Genomic DNA, 21,478 nt, shown 5'->3' with positions numbered 1-21,478 from the left:
TCACACCTCCCAAAGGCACACTCGACAACCCGGAGATAAGAGTGCAGTCTAGAGTCATATTTAGGAAGAAAATCCTTCCCTAAGTACACTGTGATCTGCAGAGACTGTCCCTCAGTAGGCCCAGGGCTCCAGAATATTAGGCTGAGCCCAGCGAGTCTTCACTCAGAGTAGCTTCACGCCCCTGCCCAGGCGTTGCCTGTAACACTGGCTGAAGCATGAAAGCTCCCCTTCTTGCCTCCCTGACCCTACACCAGATCTTGTTCTCAGGGAGAGTATCTCTGCCTTCCACTGTGAAATTTAAGAAGGAAAAAAGAGAGGCCCCAACAAAGGGCTTAACCTATAAGACTCATAAACTTGTTGGAGTGAATTTTACTCATGCTTAGTAGTTAAGTATTAAAGATGAACAATGAAAACAGAGAATTAGTTTTTCTAAGAGGAGGCTGTTAAATCCTACTGGCTTCTAGAATCCTTAGTGTCCATTTTACTCCCCACTAACTTTTCTGAGGATTCTGAACTGACATCAGATGGGATTTTGCAGCCGGGTGCAGTGGTTCACAACTATAATCCCAGCACTTTTCAGGGGAGCCGAGGTGGGATGATCATTTGAGGCCGGGAGTTTGAGACCTGCTTGGGCAACATACTGAGACCCCTATCTCAACAACAAATAAATTGTTTTAAAAATTAGCTGGTTGTGGTGACAAGCACCTATGGTCCCAGCTACTTGGGAGGCTGAGGTGGAAGGATCACTCGAGCCCAGGAGCTCGAGGTTTCAGTGAGCTATGATGGTACCACTACTCTCTAGCCTGGGCAGCAGAGCAATACCCTGTCTCAAAACAAAACAAAAAAAAAATGGGATTTTACTAACTCAAGGCATTACAATAACAGTTACCCTTTACAATAAGTTACCCCTTGCTGTGCCCCATCCCTGGCTATTCTCATTTCATAATTATCTTCTTTAATTCTCAGAAACAACCCTGAGAAATTTGTATTGTTCTTACTATTTTTCAAGTAGAAGAACTGATGCTCAGAAACGCTCAATGAGCATCCAAGCTCACATGGATGGCAATATTTACTCTTGTTGGCAAACGCCAAAACTTAGGGTTTTATCCGTAAGTTACCCTATACATTCTGAAGATTTCGCTGAAGGAGAAAATGCAGCTTTATGGCTCCCAATTAAACCTGAACTATTAGTTTGGATTGATTTTTATGAAACAGACTGCTTTCTTTGACGTTAGCAACATCTCTTTCAGGGGGAAAAAAAATCCTTATAAGTTATCCACTTGGAACTTTCCCTTCTGTGATTTTATTTGTATTCCAAATCTGCTCTGTGGTCATTCTTATAAACTCCTTGGAAGTTAGAATCCATTATCAATCACCATCCAGTGGAGAAAACACAAACCACTTCAGTCATTTCAGAGGGAGATTTCATACAGGAACTGGTTCCAACTTTGTTGGAAGGGATGGTGGAGGAAAACAGGTAGAGACTGTTGTGGCAGATACAGTTCTTCAGAAAATTGCCATGCCCCTTGGGCAGGAAGAATGAAAGGGAAAGTGATGTTGCCATTGCCCCTGAAATGCCTGAAGTGGTTTTTGTTTTCTTGACTGGATGTTGATTGATACCAGATCTTACTTCCAGGGAATTTATAAAAATGACCACAGAGCAGATTTGGAATACAAATGAAATAATGGAGGGAAAGCCCAGGTAGACAGGCCTCCGAGGCTCCTGCTGCTGCTGTTTCTGCTACTTTTGGGGCCCTATCTCTGGCCACTGAGCATGCAGCCAGGGGCCCCCACACTCCAACGGTTCAGGAATCAGAAGCTGCTGGGCCCCACAGACACCTGCAGTTACTCGTAGCTCCCCTTGCTGCAACCAGAGCAGAGGAAGAAAAAAAAAAAAAAAAAAAGCTTTTCCCTCATGCATGCTTATGCGTTCTTTCTAATCTCCCATGACCGCTTCCCTAAATGGAAACCAGCTGGCAGGCGATTCTGGGAAATGTAGTTTCAGGGCTTCCAGTCCCTGCCACAAGGAGGAGAGTGTAGAAGAGTGAGTGTGAACTGTGAGCCACCAGACAGTTATCAGCCCCCACCCCGGCCAGAGTTACCAAACTCCCTTGCCTTAGAATTTAACTCATCACCTGGATTGGTCTCAAATGAATGTGATGATTCTGTTACAGCCCTGGAATTGCACAAGACGAAAGCTTAAGGAGAGTCATGATATTTATCTCTACATAAAGACTACATGTGCTGGGAGAAGTGCAACCTTTGTGGGAGGGAAACCAAAAAAAAAAATTCCAGCTCAAGCTGGGGTGTTAGGAATTGAAGCTGGCCTGGCTCCCCTGGCTGAACTGCAGGCCACGGTGGCTCTGAAAGCATCTAGTGGCAGCATTGCCCCATCTGTTCCCACCATGCCCTGTTGCTCAGCTCCTTCAGGTGGCAAGAAAGAGCCAGCCCCAGCGACCTTTGATGACAGGGTGTCTGAGACAGGGTTACCCAGAAAACAGGCTCTGAGACAAAGATTTGCATACAGGAAGTTTATCAGGATATGTTTTCAGGAACAGAAGCTGGAAGGGAGGAAGCCAAGTAGCGCTGGGCAGCGGGAGAAGTCAAAATGTGATGCAGTGGCAATCATGAGCTCAGCCAATCCCAGGGGACCTCGGGATTCCATGGTCCTTCACGGGTGTCCTGAATTGAGGCAGCAGGGCTAGATCCATGACCCTTCACACTGACTGCTAGCTGCAGGTTGCCCCCAGGGAGGGGGCATAACCTGAACTAACATAGCTCTGATTGGGTGCAAGGCATCTCAACAGGAGCCAGATGCTAGCCGCTGGGGAGGAGGGCCTCCATCCTGGGTGGGGTGTCTGGGCGCACCCCTGGCATCCACCACACAGGATAAGAGGAGTCAAACGGAAGACAGGCACTGCCCTGGGCTCGGTGCTTAGCTACATTTGCCATGCAGTCTGAGCTGTGGAGGGACAGAGTCTGGCCACCAGCCTCACTGAAACCACCATCTTCTCACACCTGGATTACTGAGCCAGAGCTTCCAGAGTCTCTGCTTCCACGTTTGCCACACTACCATCCATTCTGTACCCCACAGACAGTGCAATCTTCTCCAACCTGAAATCACATCACAGGCTGCTCCGCTTCACCTCCCCACCCTCATCGCTGTTCATTAGAGTCATGTCCAGACCCTTTGTCATGGTCTCTGGGGGCAATGTGACCTGGCCCCTGTCCACCTATGCATCTGCCACCGCCCAGCCACAACCCTGCCTCCCTCACTGTGTTCCGGCCATGCTGGCCTTTTCTGTTCCTTGAACATTCCAAGCTCTTCCCCACCTGAGGGACTTGGCCCTGGCTTTTGCCTCTGGCTAGAATATTTCCTTCTTTCCAGATAGGTCTCAGCTTTCTTATAACGTCTTGAGCGGAGTCTTCCCTAACTACCCAACTAAAGCAGCTCCCCTAGTAAATTACCTGGGTGTAATGATGTGTGTGCCTGTAATCGCAGGCTGAGGCAGGAGGGTCGCCTGAACCCAGAAGGTGGAGGCTGCAGTAAGCCAAGATCGCACAACTGCACTCCAGGCTGGATAACAGAGCGAGACCCTGTCTCAAAAAAATAAAAAATAAAAAAAGACTTCCTTTTCCCATCACCCTTTTGATCTTCTCATAGCATTCATCACTAACTGAAATTTCTTAAGCATTGGAGGACTTGTTTCTGCTATCCCTCCTAATCAAATAAAAAGCTCTCCAAGAGCAGGCATCAGTCCCTAGAAGGGTATCGAGCACGCAGTAGGTAAATATTTTTGGAATGTTGTAAATTGACCACCTTTTAATAAGGGGGACACCTATTGGGCAGAACTTCTTGAGAACCACCTTACTGGCCTGTGGCCTCCCTCATACCTGGTCTTGTCAAGGCTGTCTTGGCTGGCACAGTGGTCCCCTATCCAGTCGGCAATACTTAGGGTAGCAGGGATGGCTTCACCAGTCAAACCCAACAGATGCCATGGTGACCCTGATGCAGACCCTCAACATAGTCAGTTACACATCCGTGTCTCCATCAGCACTTCGTCACCCCAGTCACAGAAGCCCTCTACTTTCTCTCATCGGTAGGCAGAATGCACAGTGTCTCGTGTTGTTTGGGAAGTCAGTCATTTGGGGGCTGATGATTCTGGGAGGTGAAGACATCGTGGCTGGGGGCCCAGTGGTTTCCACTTTGTCAGCTGAAATCACCTGAGAGTTGAAACTCGCTTCCCAAGGGCTGGAAAGCTCTCTGGTGCTTAACATCTTTTGATTTCAGCTCCCCACTATTAAACATGTTTAAATAAAAATTACTACTGCCATTTGCTGAGCACCTGTCCTGTACCAGGACCTGTGCTTGGTCCATAATTCAGAGATGTTCTGGAACTTGCCTGAGAGAGGACTGAACCCAGTTTGTGAGACACGCTGGCCTACTTCCACTGTACCACCTGAGAAATTAAGGAGAAATCAAAGAGATGGGAGGAGTTCCTGTTAGTACAAAATAGTTATATTTAGTAAAATAAAATATGACAGATCTTGCTTCAAAGGTGGACTAGTTTTGTTCACAAAGTAAAGGAAGGCTCTTCTCACCCCCACTCCTGTATCATTCCATGGAAGCTTTGAATACCATTCCACACACTTTGTAATTTCACTAATAAAGAGTCTGCAGAATTTGTGCGCATTTTAAATCTAGACACCTGTGGAATTCTTCAAAGCTTGGCAGAAGATTGGTAAATTAGATCCCCATCCTGTCAGACAAAAAAAAAATTTCTCCTTGTGGACAGCCTTTCCCACTCAGGCAAAGTGGTCCATTTACATAGAAATGATCCTTTTAGAAGGTGTTTTGTGATTTTCAATTGTCCCTCGAAATAAAAATCACAGCTCCTGTCTCACCTTGGTTGAAGTGTTTTCACACTCCAGGGAGTTGCTTACCGTCACCTGAATATAGAATTCGGTGGGCATTAGTTTCAAACTGATACTACTCACAGCTGTCTTCAGGGTTTCAAAAAGGTGTCCAGGTGGCCTTGGAAGGTGTTTCTCGTTCTGGGATCAGGCTGAGCGATCCCCCTTTATTCTGGAAGCTGCAGGGCTTCAGTCTTTAGGTTTCTGCCTAAGGAAAAATGCTTCCTGGGGTTTTCTCCCAAGACTTCAGTGGAACCCAGAGTATTGTCTGTGCTGTTGCCTGATGACACAAAAGCATAACAGTGAGAGAAAAGCAGGATACCTTTAAAACCATTTCTTTTCCTAATTTCACAATAATGAAAAGACAGGAAGAAACTTATTTCTCGATCAAGAGCAACATGCCACAGTGAAGTAGCATGGACATTAAAATTAAACCTGCATTTGAATCCCAGCAGCCTCACTTACAGTGACCTTGTGTGAAGTCCATAACCTCTCTCAGTTTCAGTTTCTTGATCTGCAAAATGGGGGTCATCCCCTTATCACTTACGTTTGGCATGAAGATTCAGTGATATAGTGTGTGTCAATTTCCTCGTATGGCTGCAGAATTTTAGGTGGGCCATAAATCGGAAAGAAGAGATGACATTCCATCTCTAAATTCCTGATATATTTAGCCAAGCATTTGGAAGCCAGCAGGGCAGATGCAGGAGATAACGCTATGTTTAGCCCCCAAGGTCCCTAATGAGGGGCACTCAGCTGCCTGTGACACTAGTCAGGTCTCGCTGGCTCAAGAAGCTTAGTTTTTTGCTGCACCATAGCTTGGTTATAATTGGGACTGACGTCACCATTCAGGAAAAACTTAGAAAAACATTCTCTATTCCTAATAAGAAATACCAACAGACCTCTAGCACCCTTCTGGTCCTGAAGCCAAGCAGACTCAGCAATACCCCGTATCTTTATGGGTGGGGCACAGGGAGAGGAGTCAGGGCCGGGCCCAAAGGGCCTCACCTTTGCCGTCATCTTTCCAGCACCCCAGAAGACGTCGTCCCCATTATAGCACGGACACGTGGGTGTTTAATTAATAGTCATGGTGATCATGATGATGCTTATCTTGGCTTCAATTCACATGTGTTAGTTCCATTATTGATTTTGTTCTCCTCAAATTAACCAGATAAAGTCACAACCAATTTAAAAACAATTAGTTTGATTTTCATCTGTGGTCCAGCGGGAATCTGTTTTTCCTCCAGTATTAATAATCGCATTGTACAGTTAATGAATTGCTGTGAGATCAGTGGCGTTTGGGCTAATGTGGCATTTCTCTTTTATTCTTGTTTGATTTGTTTTGTTTTGTTTTTAGGGTCAAGTTGTATTCCGGAATGGGGAGAGAATGGGGACCATTAAATTTACTCAATTTCAAGGTAGGCATTTTGATGCTTATTCTTTCTAGCTGATAAAATTTAGATTCAGGAATGTTGTTTTATGCAATATAATACATCAAAAGGAATGCAAGTGTGATGTTCCAGATAAAAGAAAGCAGAGCCAATTGAAAACACTTTTCTGAAAACATTAGTTTCAACCTATTTGGAATATTTTTTTCTCAGCCGCATCATGATCAGCCCTCCATCTCCATGGGTTCCACGTCTGTTGATTCAGCCAGCTGAAGACTGAAACTATTCAGGAAAAAAATGGATGATTCCGTCTGTACCAAATACATACAGACTTTTTTTTCTTGTCGTTATTCCCTAAACAATAGAGTATAACAACTATTTACATTTTATTAGGCATTGTAAGAAATCTAGAGATGATTTAAAGTATATGGGAGGATGTGTGTAGTGTATAGGCAAATACTACCCCATTTTATATCAGGGACTTGGTCGTTGGGGGATTTTGGAATCCTCAAGGGATCCTGGAACCAATCCTCCATGGATCCCTAGGGATAACTGTGCTTCCCTGGCCTATTCTGCCTTCCCGCATGACTCTAAAAGGTTTATGAGATTATGAGTGGTGGGGATTAAGTTAGTATTCTGAGGACCTTTGCATTGTTGTGGGGTTTGGGGTGTTTTTTGTAGAGAAAGGGTCTCAGTATGTTGCCCTGGCTGGAGTGCAGTGGCAATCCACAGATGCGTTCATAGCATACTGCAGCCTCGAACTCCTGGGCCCAAGCAGTCCTCCCACCTCAGCCTCCTAAGTAGCTGGGACCACAGACATGCAACAGTGGCACCCACCTGTTTTTGGTTTTGATTTTAGAGATGTTCAAACAGACTCTAAAGTAGAGAGAACAGCATCATGAACCCCCATGTGCCCAATAGGCAGTTTCAATCATTATCGACATTTTGCCAATCTTCTTTCATTTTGACTCACCCCATCCCCCCTTTTTTTGCTGTAGTGTTTTAAAGCAGCTCCTAGACACGATCTCATCTCATTCTATAAATACTTCAGTATGCATTTTTTTGGATAGGGAGGTTTTATAATATAATCACGGTACTATTATCACACCTAAAACATTAAACAATTCTTAATATCGTTTAATTTCCCAGTCTGTGTGGATCCCCTGATCATCTCAACGATGTCTTCACAGATGATTTGTTGGAAAATCCACACAAATTCCACCCATTGCATCTGCTTGAAGTATCTCTTTAGTCTCTTTTCATCTATTATAACCCACCACTTTTTACAGAACATTTATTTTTTGAAGAAACCGGGTCATGCGTTGAACTTTCTGTTGCTGTCAGAAGGGCCTCAGAAACCATCCAGACCAATTTCTTTGTGTGATGAGGGAAAAACGGAGGTGCAGACAAGGGCCATGTGAGGAGCATCCTTGAGGAACAGGGCTGGGCATTCCTTGAGGCAGACCAGTACAGCCATTAGCGGGGTGATTAGCCAAAACGACTAGATGAACCTCTCATCAATACAGTGTTCTTGAGCAGCCGAGTGTTTCTGGAAAACCCAGAAACAAGAGTGGTGCCTGCTGTGCCCACTCACTTTGAGCAGATCCCAGCGCCATCCAGGGGAAAGCAAGAAATTAAAGTGAGTTATTCAGATTCATTCAGACAAATCCCACCAGGATTCAGATCAATCAGGAGAGGTGTTCTTCAGCGCTATCGCTCTGTAATGCAATCTTGTAGACATACCCATTCGTCTTTCTGTGGCAGGTAATTGAAACGCGTGTCAGCTCTCTGGCGTGCACAAAAGATGTAATTTTAGGCAAACGTAATTATTTTTCCATTTGTTAAATTTTACTTCTTCATTGGTTGAACAAAGTAAGCATCTTGGCAAAGATACTTACTTTTTTTTTTTTTGAGTGATTGCAACTAAATTCTCTTGTCTCATTTCCAGTTCTCAAAATTATATCATTCTAAGAAAGTATTTTGTAAAATAAGGATTGGCTGATCACAGCTACCAGTGCATGCCAATTGTATTGCCTTTTTTTTTTCATACGTTAGGTTTAAACACCAGCTTCAGTCACTATTTAGGCATATCTGGATTTATAAGGAAGGCAGTACAGCAAACAGCAGTTCAGAGCTTGCGCTTTGTGGGTCGACCCACCCGAGATCCAGTCACTTCCTCACTGTAGAATTTCAGGCAAGCGACTTCGCCTCTCTGAGCCTTGATTGTCCTCATCTGTAAAATAGGAGTATAATCCTAACTACCTTCATGGAATATGGGAAAAACTAAATGAGAAAGTATGTGTATATTTAACTATACATACAATATATTTATATATATGTATATATATATATATTTTTTTTTTTCTCAGCAAGTAAGTAGCAATTATGATTAGCACCTTGTCAACATTATGACACCTTTCTGGGGCAAATTCAGGTTTCCCTGAAGTGCTGAAACCCCCTGGCTGCTTTTTTGTCTGCCATTTACCCCTAATAGCGGCTCCCTGCACTTAGTGATGTATAGGAGGTGATACAAGGCAGGGCCTTAGCGATGATCTCATTCCAGAATTCATGGTATAAATGGGGAAACTGAGGTCCAGGGATGAGTAGTGTCTCCCAGGGACACACAGCTGGCTAGTGGCAGAGCAGGGACTGGACCTCAGCTTGCTCTTCTGCACATTCCCACGGACACCCAGGCACAAGTGTGCTCCCCTCACCCTCTCTGCATTTGTGTCCAGCTTTTCTTGAGGGTCACAGCTGGGCCTTCAATAAAGGCCAGATGCTCCTGTTTACATGATTTTTTTTTTTTTTTTTTTTTTTGAGACGGAGTCTCACTGTGTCACCCAGGCTGGAGTGCAGTGGCACAATCTCGGCTCACTGCAACCTCTGCCTCCTGGGTTCGAGTGATTCTTCTGCCTCAGCCTCCCGAGTAGCTGGGACTACAGGCTCGTGCCACCATGCCCAGCTAATTTTTGTATTTTTAGTAGAGATGGGGTTTCACCATATTGGCCAGGCTGGTCTCGAACTCCTGACCTCGCAGTCTGCCCACCTCGGCCTCCCAAAGTGCTGAGATTACAGGCGTGAGCCACTGCGCCTGGCCTACATGTTTTTTTAAACAGACATTGATCCTCTTGCTCCAATAGAGGGACCTTGTGTTATTTTAGGACTGAAATGAGCCACCAGAATGCAGGGGGCATATGCGTATCAACACAACAGTTGGTTTTCCAAATGTAAAGGGTTTCAGAGGTGCCTTATCTACCAGGATGGATTATTGAATAGGCCGTCCAAGCTGTGCGATGAGCCATCCAGGGAGTTAACGCCTCCAGGAGCAGCCCTGTGTCAGTGATGGATGAGAAGGGGAGGATAAATACCCCAGCATCCTTTCCCCTTGGGTGAGGCAACTCCCAGGTGTGTTTGGCTCTTTTCCCAGAGCTCCCACAGTAGGACTGAGCCTCGGTTGCCCACAAAGAAACCTGCTCACTCATGCACCTTGTCCTGGCTCCCTTCCCTGCCTCACTTCCCCACACCACTAACAGCGCATCCTAGGATCACCTTCCAAATAAACTGCATGCCTTCTTCCCCTCATCTCAGGCAGGTGCTATTCTTAGGGAGCCACCCTTGGCCGTAGGTAAGGCAGGTATTAGCATCCTGTTGGGCACACACCTCAGGCCTGAACCCCTTTCATCTCCAGATTCCATGCTCCTCCCTGATGCCATGGCTGATTTTCACGACACCACGTGTAGATGAGGATGAATACTAGAGAATTGGCTTTTTTCCCCTTAAGAGAAAAAAAGTATCCATGTTACTGCCGAAGTCTAAACATGGCTCTGAATTTGCAGCAGGGAAGGAAGTTGAGTGAAGCCGTGATTAGAGCCTTGTTTATGCTGTTCTTAGAGAAAACTCAGCATCTGCCGCTCCAACTCACCGACCCTGCCTTCATTAGGCCTATTTGTAAGAATCTCGGGGAATGATAATGTGCTTGAATTTCACACTGCTTCTATGCAACATAAAGGGCTCAGGCTTTGGAGTTTTATATTTTGGCACCTGATTTGAAGGGAAGGGGTCTTCCTTCACTCTAACGACATAATTGTCATTCAGAACGTACCTAGTGAAAGGGAGACTTGTCCTTCCCAATTGCAGACATTAATTACCATTTGGTCTTCAGGGTAACAGATACGGTTGTATTCAGTGCGCATTTCCTGAGCATCTGCCAGGCGCTTTACCAAGTCCTCTGGAGAAAACCAAGTTGAATAAGATACAGTCCCCGATCCTCCAGGGCTTCATAATCTCTCTGGCCGAATGCCAGTGCTTATGAAAGCAGGAAGATTATTTCCCAGAACCTACTAGAATACTTTCAGGGCTAGTTTGACCCTACTTTGAGACTCTTGAGGCTGATTTTTAATAACCTTTTCCTCTGTCAAGGCCTGCAATTGTAGCTCGCTTCACCAAGTCATGGGTCTGGAAAGGCCATTTCGTCAGACTGTCACTCAACTTGATATAATTAAAGAGTGGAGTCATAGTCCATAATCCTTCAGGATATACCAGCAGGGTTGTGGACAAGCAGGAACCAGGGGACACACGGAAATGTGGACTCTTTTCCAGCTTGACCCTAGCCTCGACACCTCCCAGCCCTCATGTTCCAGGATTTGCCTTTCAGGGAGCCTAAGAAAGGTGGCCCAAAAGACAGCATATTTTACAGGTATTGGGTTTCATTGAGCCATCGACTCTCCATGTTGAAGGGAGCCCTGATTCTCTTATACAACATTCCCACTGCTTGAATGCCTCCAGTGATGGGGAACTCATTCCCTCTCATGTGGAAAGTATATAGGCTTGAAGCAGACATGCCTGATCATTGACAGATAGGCAAAGAAGCTTAGTCTCTTTGAGCCTTCATTTCAGTTAAAAATAAGTAAATAAATAAAAGATGATCATTTTCCTTGCCTTGAGAGTGACTGAGAACCTGATGATGTGAGGCTGTGATGTTCCTGTCTCGGGGACTGGCACAGAGAAGGGTCATAACAACTGTTGGCTTCCTTCTCTCTTGGGCACTCTTAACAGTGACCCCAGATTTACACTCTCCCCCGAGGAATTTCTTGAGAAAAGTGCAGTCGCGCTTCTTTAGGACACAATTCGCACACCTCATTTCATGGGCAGTCATTGTCGTTGGTCCATGAAAGTCCCTCTTGTGTGTCCATTTATCCCCCTTATTTCCCTCCTTTATTCCCATATCCCACTCCTACCTCCCCCAAGGAAAGGCAAACACCCCATATTGTGTTTGTGTGTGTGCTTGCAAGATGCGTGTTGCTCCGTACATCAGTGCCACTGGCTTAGGTATCTTTTCTGTTCTGTTTTGTTTTTTCCACTCAACACTTTGTTTCTAAAGACATCTCCATGGTCCTGGGTGTGCTTCTAGGCATGGCTCCTCCCTGCTCCCTGCAGGAGCCATGGTGGGGTGCATCCATCACTTCACCCATCCAGGCCCCTGGGACGGACACCCAGGTCACTTTCAACTCTCCACCCTCACAAATAATACATGTCCTTATATATGTTCCCTTATGGACCCAACTGGGAATTTCCTTAGGACAGGTTTCCAAGAGCAGAATTGCTGAGTCAGAATCTGTGTGCACATTGAACATGCCCAAAACCTGCCAGGTTGCTCTGCAGAATGGCCTTGCCCATATCCACACCCACTGGCAGAGGATTCCTGTGTCCCTACCTACCACCCACATTTGGGATTTCCTGGATCCCTCATTTTTTGACGGTCTAAAAGTATAAAGTAATATCATATTGTGACTTTACGTATCGTTTCTCTGATTCCTAATGAGTTTGGATATTTCTTTCTGTGCTTATTAGTCATTTGTTAATTGTCTGTTCTGATCCTTTGATCTTTTTTCTTTTCTTTTTTTCTTTTTTTTTTAAAAAAAAAAAAGGCAGGGTCTCCCTCTGTTGCCTGGGGTGGAGTACTACAGTGGCACAATCATAGCTCATTGCAGCCTTGAACTCCCAGGTGTAAGCCATCCTCCTTCCTCAGCCTCCCAAGTAGCTGAACTACAGGCGTGCACCACCATGCCTGGCTAGGTTTTTTTTTTTTTTTTTTTCATGGAGGTGGGAGTCTCGCTATGTTGCCCAAGCAGGTCTCAAACTCGTGGCCTGAAGCGATCCTCCTGCTGTCTCAGCCTCCCAAAGTGCTGAGATCACAGGTGTGAGCCACCGCACCCAGCCCTTTGACCATTTTTATTTTGAAGTTACTGTCTTTTTCTTGTTGGTCTGCAGAAGTTCCTTACATAAGCTAGATATCAATCCCTTATTGGCTTTAGGCTTTGCAAGTATCTTCTCCCATTCTGTCACTTGTCTATAAACTACCTTCAAGTCCTGGTTGAGCCTTCAAGTTCTTAATTTTGATGTAGATAAACCCTTTTGGTTTTTGTCCTAAGGTTTGTGCTTTTGAAGTTTCTCAACAATTATTTCCTGTCACTCCTAGCAGGTGACCCCCTACCTGCCAGGTGCTGGCTGGCACTGGTTGGGTATGGGGGTTGGTGGGGCTGAGTAGGGTAAGATGCAATCCTTGCCCTCAGGGAGCCCACAGCCCATCCAGTGCAATGAGGAGTAGACACAGACAACAGCAAAGTGTGATGCGTGATAAGTGATGGCACAGGCAGCTGTGGGCATTCAGAGGAGGGCACTCAGGTCTACCTGGCAGAATCTAGGAAGGATATCTGAGAGCAGTGGCATCCAAGATGAATTCTTTTTTTTTTTTTTTTTGAGATGGAGTCTTGCTTTGTCACCCAGGCTGGAGTACAGTGGCACAATCTCAGCCCACTGCAACATCCGTCCCAGGTTCAAGCAATTCTCCTGCCTCAGCCTCCCAAATAGCCAAGATTACAGGCACGTGCCACCGTGCCTGGCTAATTTTAGTATTTTTAGTAGAGACGGGGTTTCACCATGTTGGCCAGGCTGGTCTTCAACTCCTGACCTCATGATCTGCCCACCTCGGCCTCCCAAAGTGCTGGGATTACAGGCATGAGCCACTACACCCGGCCCCAAGATGAATTCTGAAGGACCTGAGGGAGGTTGCCAAGAAGAAGAGAAAAAGTGCTCCTGGGGCAGACAGCCTATTGCATATGACCTGGGTCCCCTCAGGTACTTAGCTCTTGTCCTTGGGCCAGTTTGCCTAGATCGATGGACACATCTACCCCTGGCAGTTACTGTACCCCAGGGTATTTGGCCAATGTCCACCTAGCCTGTTAAAAATCTCAAAACAAAGGTCAGTTAACTAAACTTATGAAAAATATGGCAATAGCGTATTGTTTGTGACAGTAGAGCACAAAGTCTGTCTCTGTTCTATGCTGCTGAGAGGTAATGCTGGGAGAGGGAGAGGGAGCAGATTGGGATGGGGTGGAAGTGAAAAATCACTTCCTGAGAAATGGCTGTTCATCCTGGGGAAGAGCAGAGTTGAGGCCCATGGTTGCCAGATTCCAAGTCTGAAGGATGGTCAGGAGCAGGAGCCGAAGTGATCTGGGGCCCCAGCACAGACCCAGGACCCATGAGGGGACGTCACACAGAGCAGGTTTTAGCTTGGAATGAGGAGGACCTTTCCAAGCAATTGCAGCATCATTGAACAGGAGTTTGGGGCTACAGAGATCTCCCATGCAGCCCCCTCACTTAGCAAGACCCAGGTTGGGGATGGGACTTCCCCAGGGCTACTCAGAGTGACCGCAAAGCCAGCACCAGCTTGGGGGCTCCTGTCTTCTAGCTCAGAGCTCTTTTCTATGCCTGAGTTTGGGGGGTGGGTCCTAGAATTGAGTACATTTATAGAATCTTTTATTTTTGTTGAGCCAAGATCATCTTTTGTTTCATACCCCAGAGTTATACATTGTGTCTCAGTGTGCGTGTTTTCAACAACAATCAAATTCTAAAGGACACATTCTGGCTCCCCCAATTTGGAGCCAGAACCAAGTGAGAAGACAAGTCTACCCCTGGCAGTTATTACACCCACCCCAAATAAAATTGGATACAGACTGGATATAGACATATCCACATATAGACCGGTTGACCTTGTTTGCACGGTGGAGTTAACAAGCCCAAGAGTTAAAAGCTGAGAGGGCTGTGTGCCTATCATGGCTACCACCTGGCTGGACTGTGGGTGAATGCAAGAATACAGGGGACACAGTCCTTCCATCTGCAGACCCAGGAGGCACCCTGAGCAGAGTGCAGGGGATGAGACCTTATACTGCCTGGGACAACAGAAGCAAGGCTAGCCAGCAGGAATCAGAAGCCCTGGACACACACAGGACATGGCTTCTACGTGAAGAGCTGTCATGCACAGAGCCCTGAGTCCACAGCAACTAGGACACCGGGAGGGGAGGAACAGTACTCAGGGAAGGCTTCCTGGAAGAGGCAGGTAGGGTTTGGACAGGTTAACTTGTTAAAGGGAGGGAAAGCCACCTCCCAAGTGGAGGAACCATGGTGAGGAACAGATGGCAGGAAGAAAATATGAAGATATTTCTTGGGAACTTCACATAGAGCCCACAGTTACTTTCATCATGAATAAAATAACCGTAATTTATTGGACACTTACCGTGAGTTAGGTTCCAAGCTAGGAACTTGGCATATATTCTCGTCTTTAACCCTCTTATCAATTCTAAAGTTCCCAGTTTACAGATACAGTCATGCAAGATCTGAAATTGTGATTTAAAAAAAAAATCTCTGTATCTCTGGCCCCTAGCCCAGAGCCTGGCACGTAATGGGTGTCCAGTAATGTTTGTTGAATGAATGAATGAAATGATAAAACTAGAGGATTTAGTATCAACATCTCTCCAGCATCCAGGATGTCCAAGGCCACCTGGCTTGAGGACACGGGAATGACTTTAACTTCCCACCACCTGCAGTGCTGCTTTTGAGAGATGCTTTATCATGAAATACCATGAGCTGAGCCTGGCATGCAGTAGGCACTCAACAAATGTGGGCTGAATGATTGGCAGCCCTGCTCAGTATGGGGGTAAAAGTATGCTGAATTCAGAACTAGGAGACCCATGTTCAGTTGCCCACTGGGTCGCTGCTGAGCACTTGGCTCTGAGTGGGTACTTAACCTATTTGAGGCTCCTCCTGCCTCTTTAGACCAGGATGAATTATGCCCAATTCATGGTTTGCCATGAGCATTAAATGCAGGAACTTGTGAAGCGCCTGTGAGCCTCCAACATTGCCCCCAGGGAGAGATTATGGTGATTACGGTCGGTGGGAAGCTGAGTATTATTTCAGTGCCATGGGACGGTGCATACAGCAGCGTATGTGAGTCAGAGGGGCAGGCTGTGTGGCCGGGGTGCGGTGGGGTGCCAGCCACACCATTCCCCACTCTTGATGATTGATTCTGATCAACCTGCATATTTCATGCGCTGCCTCCCTGCCTCAAATAAATAAATCAGGGCCTCCTCTGAGCAGCAGGACCTGATTGGGGCATCTGCAGGGCTCAGGACTTCAAAAGGCCAAAGCAGGGATGCTGGAGCCCCCCAGCAGATTCTGCTAATGTGACATTTAGGGGCCGGGTGACCCAGGTAAGCAACAGCCGCTTGCGCAGTGTGATGCCCCCTAAATGGCGAGGACCCTTGTGGGGAGAAGGAAGTGACTTTTACAGCCCCTGTTTCCACCACCCACGGTCAGAGGAACACAGGCAGAAGTGTGGCCCAGGGGATTCCCTGTTCTGTTTTCTGAATGTTTCTAAGGGCCAGCAGTGCACCTGCATTTCTGCAAAGAAATTCCCTTAGAGCTAGAGCCCCAGGAGGCACTTCCTCAGGGTGTGCCTTGGAATTCCTATATAAACTCCAGGCATTTTGCTGGCCAGGGTCTGCAGCTCTGGAAGGGACCCGCCTGCACTTCACAGAGGCTTTCATCTGGGGATGGGTGGACAATCCTCCTCTTTGTGCTTCCCACATTCACGAGGCACAGGTGGTCCATGAAGTGGGCACTCGGCACAAACTGTCACCTCTCAGGAATCCCATCAAGGCACCCCCGTGTCAGGGAAGAGCATGGGCTATGGAAAATGTCCAGGGTTTGAGTCTGGCCTCTATTCTTATTACCACTGGGGCCCTAGGCAAAGCCACAAGCTGTCTGAGCCTCCGTCTCCTTGTCTTTAAGTGGGACTGAGACCACCTACTCCACACACTGTTTTAGCTAGGCAAGAAAATGTACATAAAATAGCACTGATCCAGCACACTATAGAGGCTCGGTCAGTACCCCCAGCCCTTCCTACCTGCTCCCCACCATTCTCAAGCCTGCTCTTCCCTGGGGGCCCTATCCCTGCCCTCAAACTCACTGCCCCTTGCTCCATCCTTCTAACCACAACCTTTCCCTAAATCTGCTTCATCCATGTTCGCTGGTATCCTCCCAGATGCCAGATCCTCAGACCCTGCTCAAGGGTCTTCTCCCAGCCTCTCTGTGGCATGTGACACTGCAGCCAGCTCCATGGTGAAGGTGTGCCTTTCCTTGGCTTCTAAGATGCCCACTCCCTCCCAACACCCTGCTCCTGCATCCTGGTCACCCCTTCCCAGTCTCTGCTCTGCCCACCCCAGGGGTCAGGGCTCCTCCAGAGTCTGCACTTGATCCTCTCCTCTTTTCACTTGGCTCACTTTCCCTGGGGGTCTCATTCCTGCCTCCAACTCCGATTCCCATCTTCCATGCCGATGACTCCTGCTCGCCCCCCAGCCACACCTCTCCCCTCAGCTCTAGACTCAAGAGCATCTCTGCCTTGATGCTCCACAGGCATCCCAGGCTCAGCACATCCAAGATGGAACTCATTATTCTTCCCCTTGTATTTGAAGCCCTCCTGGGTTCTCTGCTCAGGGATGGGAACTGAAACTCCTCATCCCCACCAGAACCTTGGATGACCTTGGTCCCCCTCTTCTTCATCTCCCATTTGATCACTCAGTTGTCCTGATTTTACCTGGAAAAAAGAAACCTTGCTTAAATCTGATCCCCATTTCCATTTCTTCTGCCACCACTCTGGGCCAGTCCTCATCATCTTTATCCTTGACGATGACCAAAACAATGAACTAAACACACCAAGAACTGTAAGAAGGTTGAGAGTAAATTTGAATGCACCACTTGGGTTTAAAAACACACTGAACAAGTGCAAGGAGCCAAGAGCAGTGGGAGATTATGCTTAGTATGACACAGCAGAGCAATGTGGCTTCTGAAAGATGCAAATTCAACCTAAGGATGCATATAATAGCAATGTGAACTCCAGAATGAGGGAAGGGATGGTGGCCTCTACTTGCTGCTGACCAAATCATGCCAAAAGTGCACTGGTCAGTCCTTGGATCTACACTCTACAGAAAGACTGACTTTATGGAATGTGGCCCAAGGAGGGGCTGGGGTGGGGGAGCAGGGAGATTGAAGTGCTGTTCTGTAAAGAGGAGTTGGGGGGTGGTATCAGCAGACTGACCTGTCTTTGTCTTCAAGTATCTGGGCCTATCCTAGGGAAGATGGAGCAAAAATGGTCTGTGTGGTTCTAGAGGGCAGAGCCAGTTGAGCAGGGGGAATGTTACAGGGAAACATTTCAGCTCAGTGACCAGGAAGAACTTGGTACCAGACAGAGTACAGTTGTAGGGAGCCTGGGCTCCCCATCTTTGAGGTGTGAAGCAAAGGATGGACAACCAGTTGATGAGACAGAGACAATGCAAGAGAATGTTCCAGCCTAGATCAGGTTAGAAGTTTTGTGATTCTAACCAGAAGAGGCATTGGAGAAAGGGAAGCCTGCCAGAATATATCCAGGGCCTGTGAGGGGAGCAAGAGCCTGGAATAGGAGCACCCAGACACAAACCCAGATCCCAGTCTAACTGGCCACTGTCTTTTGCTCCCCACAGACAGCAGGGAGGTGAAGGTGGGAGAGTACAACGCTGTGGCCGACACACTGGAGATCATCAATGACACCATCAGGTTCCAAGGTAAGGCAGGTGGGCTTCTCAGAGGAGGGGGCCTGCCCAGTTGCTCCCAAGCCTGGACATTGTCTAAGGGTTAGGGACAAGCTCAGCATCCTTGGCTTCAGGGGGTCAAGGGAACATCCTCAACACATGCACTCAATCGTTGAGCACAGGGCTCCAATCACTTGTATGGGCTCCAGCACCTGGCATGGGTCACTAGAGTTTGTATGAAGTGCACACTGAGGTGTTTAAACCATTGGATGGCCAGGAGTAATTCTTTTTAAATGTAGCCCTGCTAAATTTAGGTCTATCTTCTCCTCTGGCAAAGGGTTTGACTGGGTTGGAAATAAGGCCTGTCTATCTGCTGCTCTTCCTAGAAGATTATTTCTTCTCCTCTGCTAGAGAACTCCTCTTCAGCTTCTATAACCAGCTCAAATGACACCTCTTCTGTGCGATCTTCCTTAATTGCCATCCAACTGAGCTAATGACTCCCTTCTCTTTGCTTCCAGTCTTTCTTCTCTGCCTCTCTTATGGCCACTGTCACTTTACATTGATATTACTAGGTGATTCAGCTATGAGCCCCTGACTGGATCCTATTTAACTTTAAATTCCTGGCACCAGCCAAGGTCTGATGCATGTTGGAGACTTGGTGGTATTTAATGACAAAATGAATTGATCAAGTGGATGGATGGATGGGTGGGTGGGCTGGTGGATGAGTGGATGGATGGATGGTTGGGTGGATGAGTGGGTGTGTGGATGGATGGATGGATGGAAGGTTGGGCTGGTGGATGAGTGGATGGATGGATGGTTGGGTGGATGAGTGGGTGTGTGGATGGATGGATGGATGGATGGATGGTTGGGTGGATGCCTGGATGGGTGTGTGAATGGGCAGATGGATGGATAGATGGATAGGTATGTGGGTGGGTGGGTGAGTGGATAGATGGACAGGTAGATGGGTGGACAGATGGATGGCTGGGTAGATGGATAGATGAATTGATCAAGTGGATGGATAGATGGATGGATGGATGGATGGATGGATGGGTTGGTGGATGAGTGGATGGATGGATGGTTGGGTGGATGAGTGGATGAGTGGATGGATGGATGGTTGGGTGGATGAGTGGGTGTGTGGATGGATGGATGGATGGATGGATGGATGGATGGATGGATGGGTGGATGCATGGATGGGTGTGTGAATGGGCGGATGGATGGATAGATGGATAGGTGGGTGGGTTGGGTGGGTGGGTGAGTGGATAGATGGACAGGTAGATGGGTGGACAGATGGATGGCTGTGTAGATGGATGGATGAATTGATCAAGTGGATGGATGGATGAATGGGTAGTGGATAGATAGATGTATAGGAGGGTGAGTGGATGAGTAGACAGATGGACAGTGGATGGACGGATGGACAAACAGACAGTCTAGTCACTTAATAGCAATAGAGAAAGCTGCCACATCCATATTGTTACTTTGATTCCAGTGGGTCAGCAGAAATTGGGACAGCTGGCTTTCTGTGCCAGGAGCTTTTAAGTTCCTTCTTTAAAGCAAGGGCACCAGAGAAGGCTCTTCCGCAGGCCCTTTGATTAGACTCTGTCATGTTCCTATATTTCCACTGGACCTGAGGGATTCAGCCTTGAGAACATTGCAAAGCAAAACTCCAGTCAGCCTCTGAGAACCAGAATGGTCTCCACACTCAGGTGAGCCTCCCTATCCCAACTGAGGGAGCTGTCACCAGACATATCGTCAAGTATTACCTCAAGGGTGACACCCCAGATTCACACAGCCTGTTGTAACCACCAGAGCCCTGATCCCCAAGATCGGCATGTCTGCTATCGGACTGGGGAGATCAGGGTTTACTGAACAAGGACTCTGGGTTTACGAATTGAAGAAAAGATTCAAGCGCCAAACAAATAAAAGACACAAAATACAACTTACAGGAAAAACACGAATTTGGTGGGGCAGGGACCAGTAGCCAGGACAGTGGCTAAACAACAGTCAGAGGGTACCAGGTCTTCATTGGTGATGCCCAGGCCCTGCCTTTCAGCCCCGGGCTCTGCCCCCAGGCTGAGAGAACACAGGAAGCCGCTGTGCCAGGCATACTTCCTGCTTCTCAGACCTTCCCCACTACCAAGACCGTGAATAATCAGCCTCTGAACACAGAGCCCAGGCAGGTCAGGGCAGAGCCCAGGCCTTCTATCCACACCTGGCCTGGGTTCAGCTCTCAGCCCCGCTCACTCGGACCCCTACACTAGCCCCCAGTGAGGCTTCTCACAGCTGTGCTAGCCTTCCCTCCTCAATCCATTCTGCCCTCAGCAGCCAAAGTGCCCTTGCTGTCATGCCAGGCTTAAGATGCCACCTCTGCTCAGAGCCCCGCACGTCCCCACTGCTCAGAGCGAGGGGACCTCACTCTGAGCTGTGGCCCCAAGGCCTCCATGAAGGGACCCCTCCTCGCTTCTCTGTCTCCTCTCTCAGATTCCCCCCAACTAAACTGCTTACAGTTCCTCAACTGTCCTGAAACACCACTGGGCCTTGGCTCATGCTGTGCCTTCTGCCCAGGATGCTCTTTCCTTCTCATCTTCCTGGCCAACAGCCAACTACTCTACTCATCCTTCGAGACTCAGCTCCTTCGTCACCTCCTTTCTGTAGCATTTCCTTACCCCGTCAGGCAGGACTGCACTCTGCTCCCTGCTCGCTCTCAGGCCTCCTGTCTGATGTTATCACATCACCTGGACCCCAGCGTCACGGGCAGCAGTTTGTGTAGTAGTTAGACCATAAGCTTCAGGGTTAGGCAGATCTGAGTTCAAATCCTGCCACTTACTAGCTGTAAGAGCCACTTAACACCTAGAAAACCATTGTCCCCTCTGTCAAATGATAATAATCTTAACTACCCCTGAGGCTGTTGGGTGGATCAAGTGGGAAAATCTCTGTATCTTGCTTAGCTTGTCATAGGCATTCAATAAATAGGATTGCTTATTAGTGCTTTTTTCTTTTTTCCTATGGCTAGTGTGTAAGTTCCCTGAAGGCAGGGACAGTGTATTTTTCATCTTTGTATCATTGGTGCTCAGTCTCAGGCCTGACAGATGGGAGTTGATTATTAATTGTGATTAATCATCATTAATGATGAATGAATGAGTGAATGGCAATGAATGGATGAATAATGAATGAATGGACCAGATGAAAAGTGAGAAAGAAAACTCAGGACTTCTGCTGTTACTAATACTCATGATAAACCAAGCATTTGGTTTCCACAAAGTCTTAATACCCCTTGTG

General features: G+C 47.3%; 1 protein-coding gene across 4 annotated transcripts in view, besides 3 other annotated features; it reads left to right on the top strand.

Moving 5' to 3' along the window:
* Positions 1 to 21,478, top strand: part of GABBR2 (gamma-aminobutyric acid type B receptor subunit 2) — a 420,827-nt gene that overhangs the window by 296,526 nt on the left and 102,823 nt on the right. For all 4 annotated transcript variants that reach the window (NM_005458.8, XM_017015331.3, XM_005252316.6 and 1 more), the window contains 2 exons: positions 6,269 to 6,329; positions 18,155 to 18,235. In NM_005458.8, the coding sequence (NP_005449.5) occupies positions 6,269 to 6,329; positions 18,155 to 18,235 (142 nt within the window). The remainder of the gene's footprint in view (positions 1 to 6,268; positions 6,330 to 18,154; positions 18,236 to 21,478) is intronic.
* Positions 10,163 to 10,664: an enhancer, noted in NCBI's record as "NANOG hESC enhancer chr9:101164028-101164529 (GRCh37/hg19 assembly coordinates)". NCBI's record gives its function as "activates a minimal SCP1, AML or CMV promoter by ChIP-STARR-seq in primed H9 embryonic stem cells {active_cell/tissue: H9 hESC(primed)}" and the evidence as "EXISTENCE:reporter gene assay evidence [ECO:0000049][PMID:30033119]".
* Positions 14,906 to 15,581: an enhancer, noted in NCBI's record as "H3K27ac-H3K4me1 hESC enhancer chr9:101159111-101159786 (GRCh37/hg19 assembly coordinates)". NCBI's record gives its function as "activates a minimal SCP1, AML or CMV promoter by ChIP-STARR-seq in primed H9 embryonic stem cells {active_cell/tissue: H9 hESC(primed)}" and the evidence as "EXISTENCE:reporter gene assay evidence [ECO:0000049][PMID:30033119]".
* Positions 15,582 to 16,257: an enhancer, noted in NCBI's record as "H3K27ac-H3K4me1 hESC enhancer chr9:101158435-101159110 (GRCh37/hg19 assembly coordinates)". NCBI's record gives its function as "activates a minimal SCP1, AML or CMV promoter by ChIP-STARR-seq in primed H9 embryonic stem cells {active_cell/tissue: H9 hESC(primed)}" and the evidence as "EXISTENCE:reporter gene assay evidence [ECO:0000049][PMID:30033119]".

The sequence above is a fragment of the Homo sapiens genome, chromosome 9 (genome assembly GCF_000001405.40).
Source record: "Homo sapiens chromosome 9, GRCh38.p14 Primary Assembly".
NCBI classification, from domain to species: domain Eukaryota; kingdom Metazoa; phylum Chordata; class Mammalia; order Primates; family Hominidae; genus Homo; species Homo sapiens.
The sequence above is the reverse complement of the archived record's forward strand: the minus strand, read 5'-3'. Positions and strand labels throughout refer to the sequence as shown.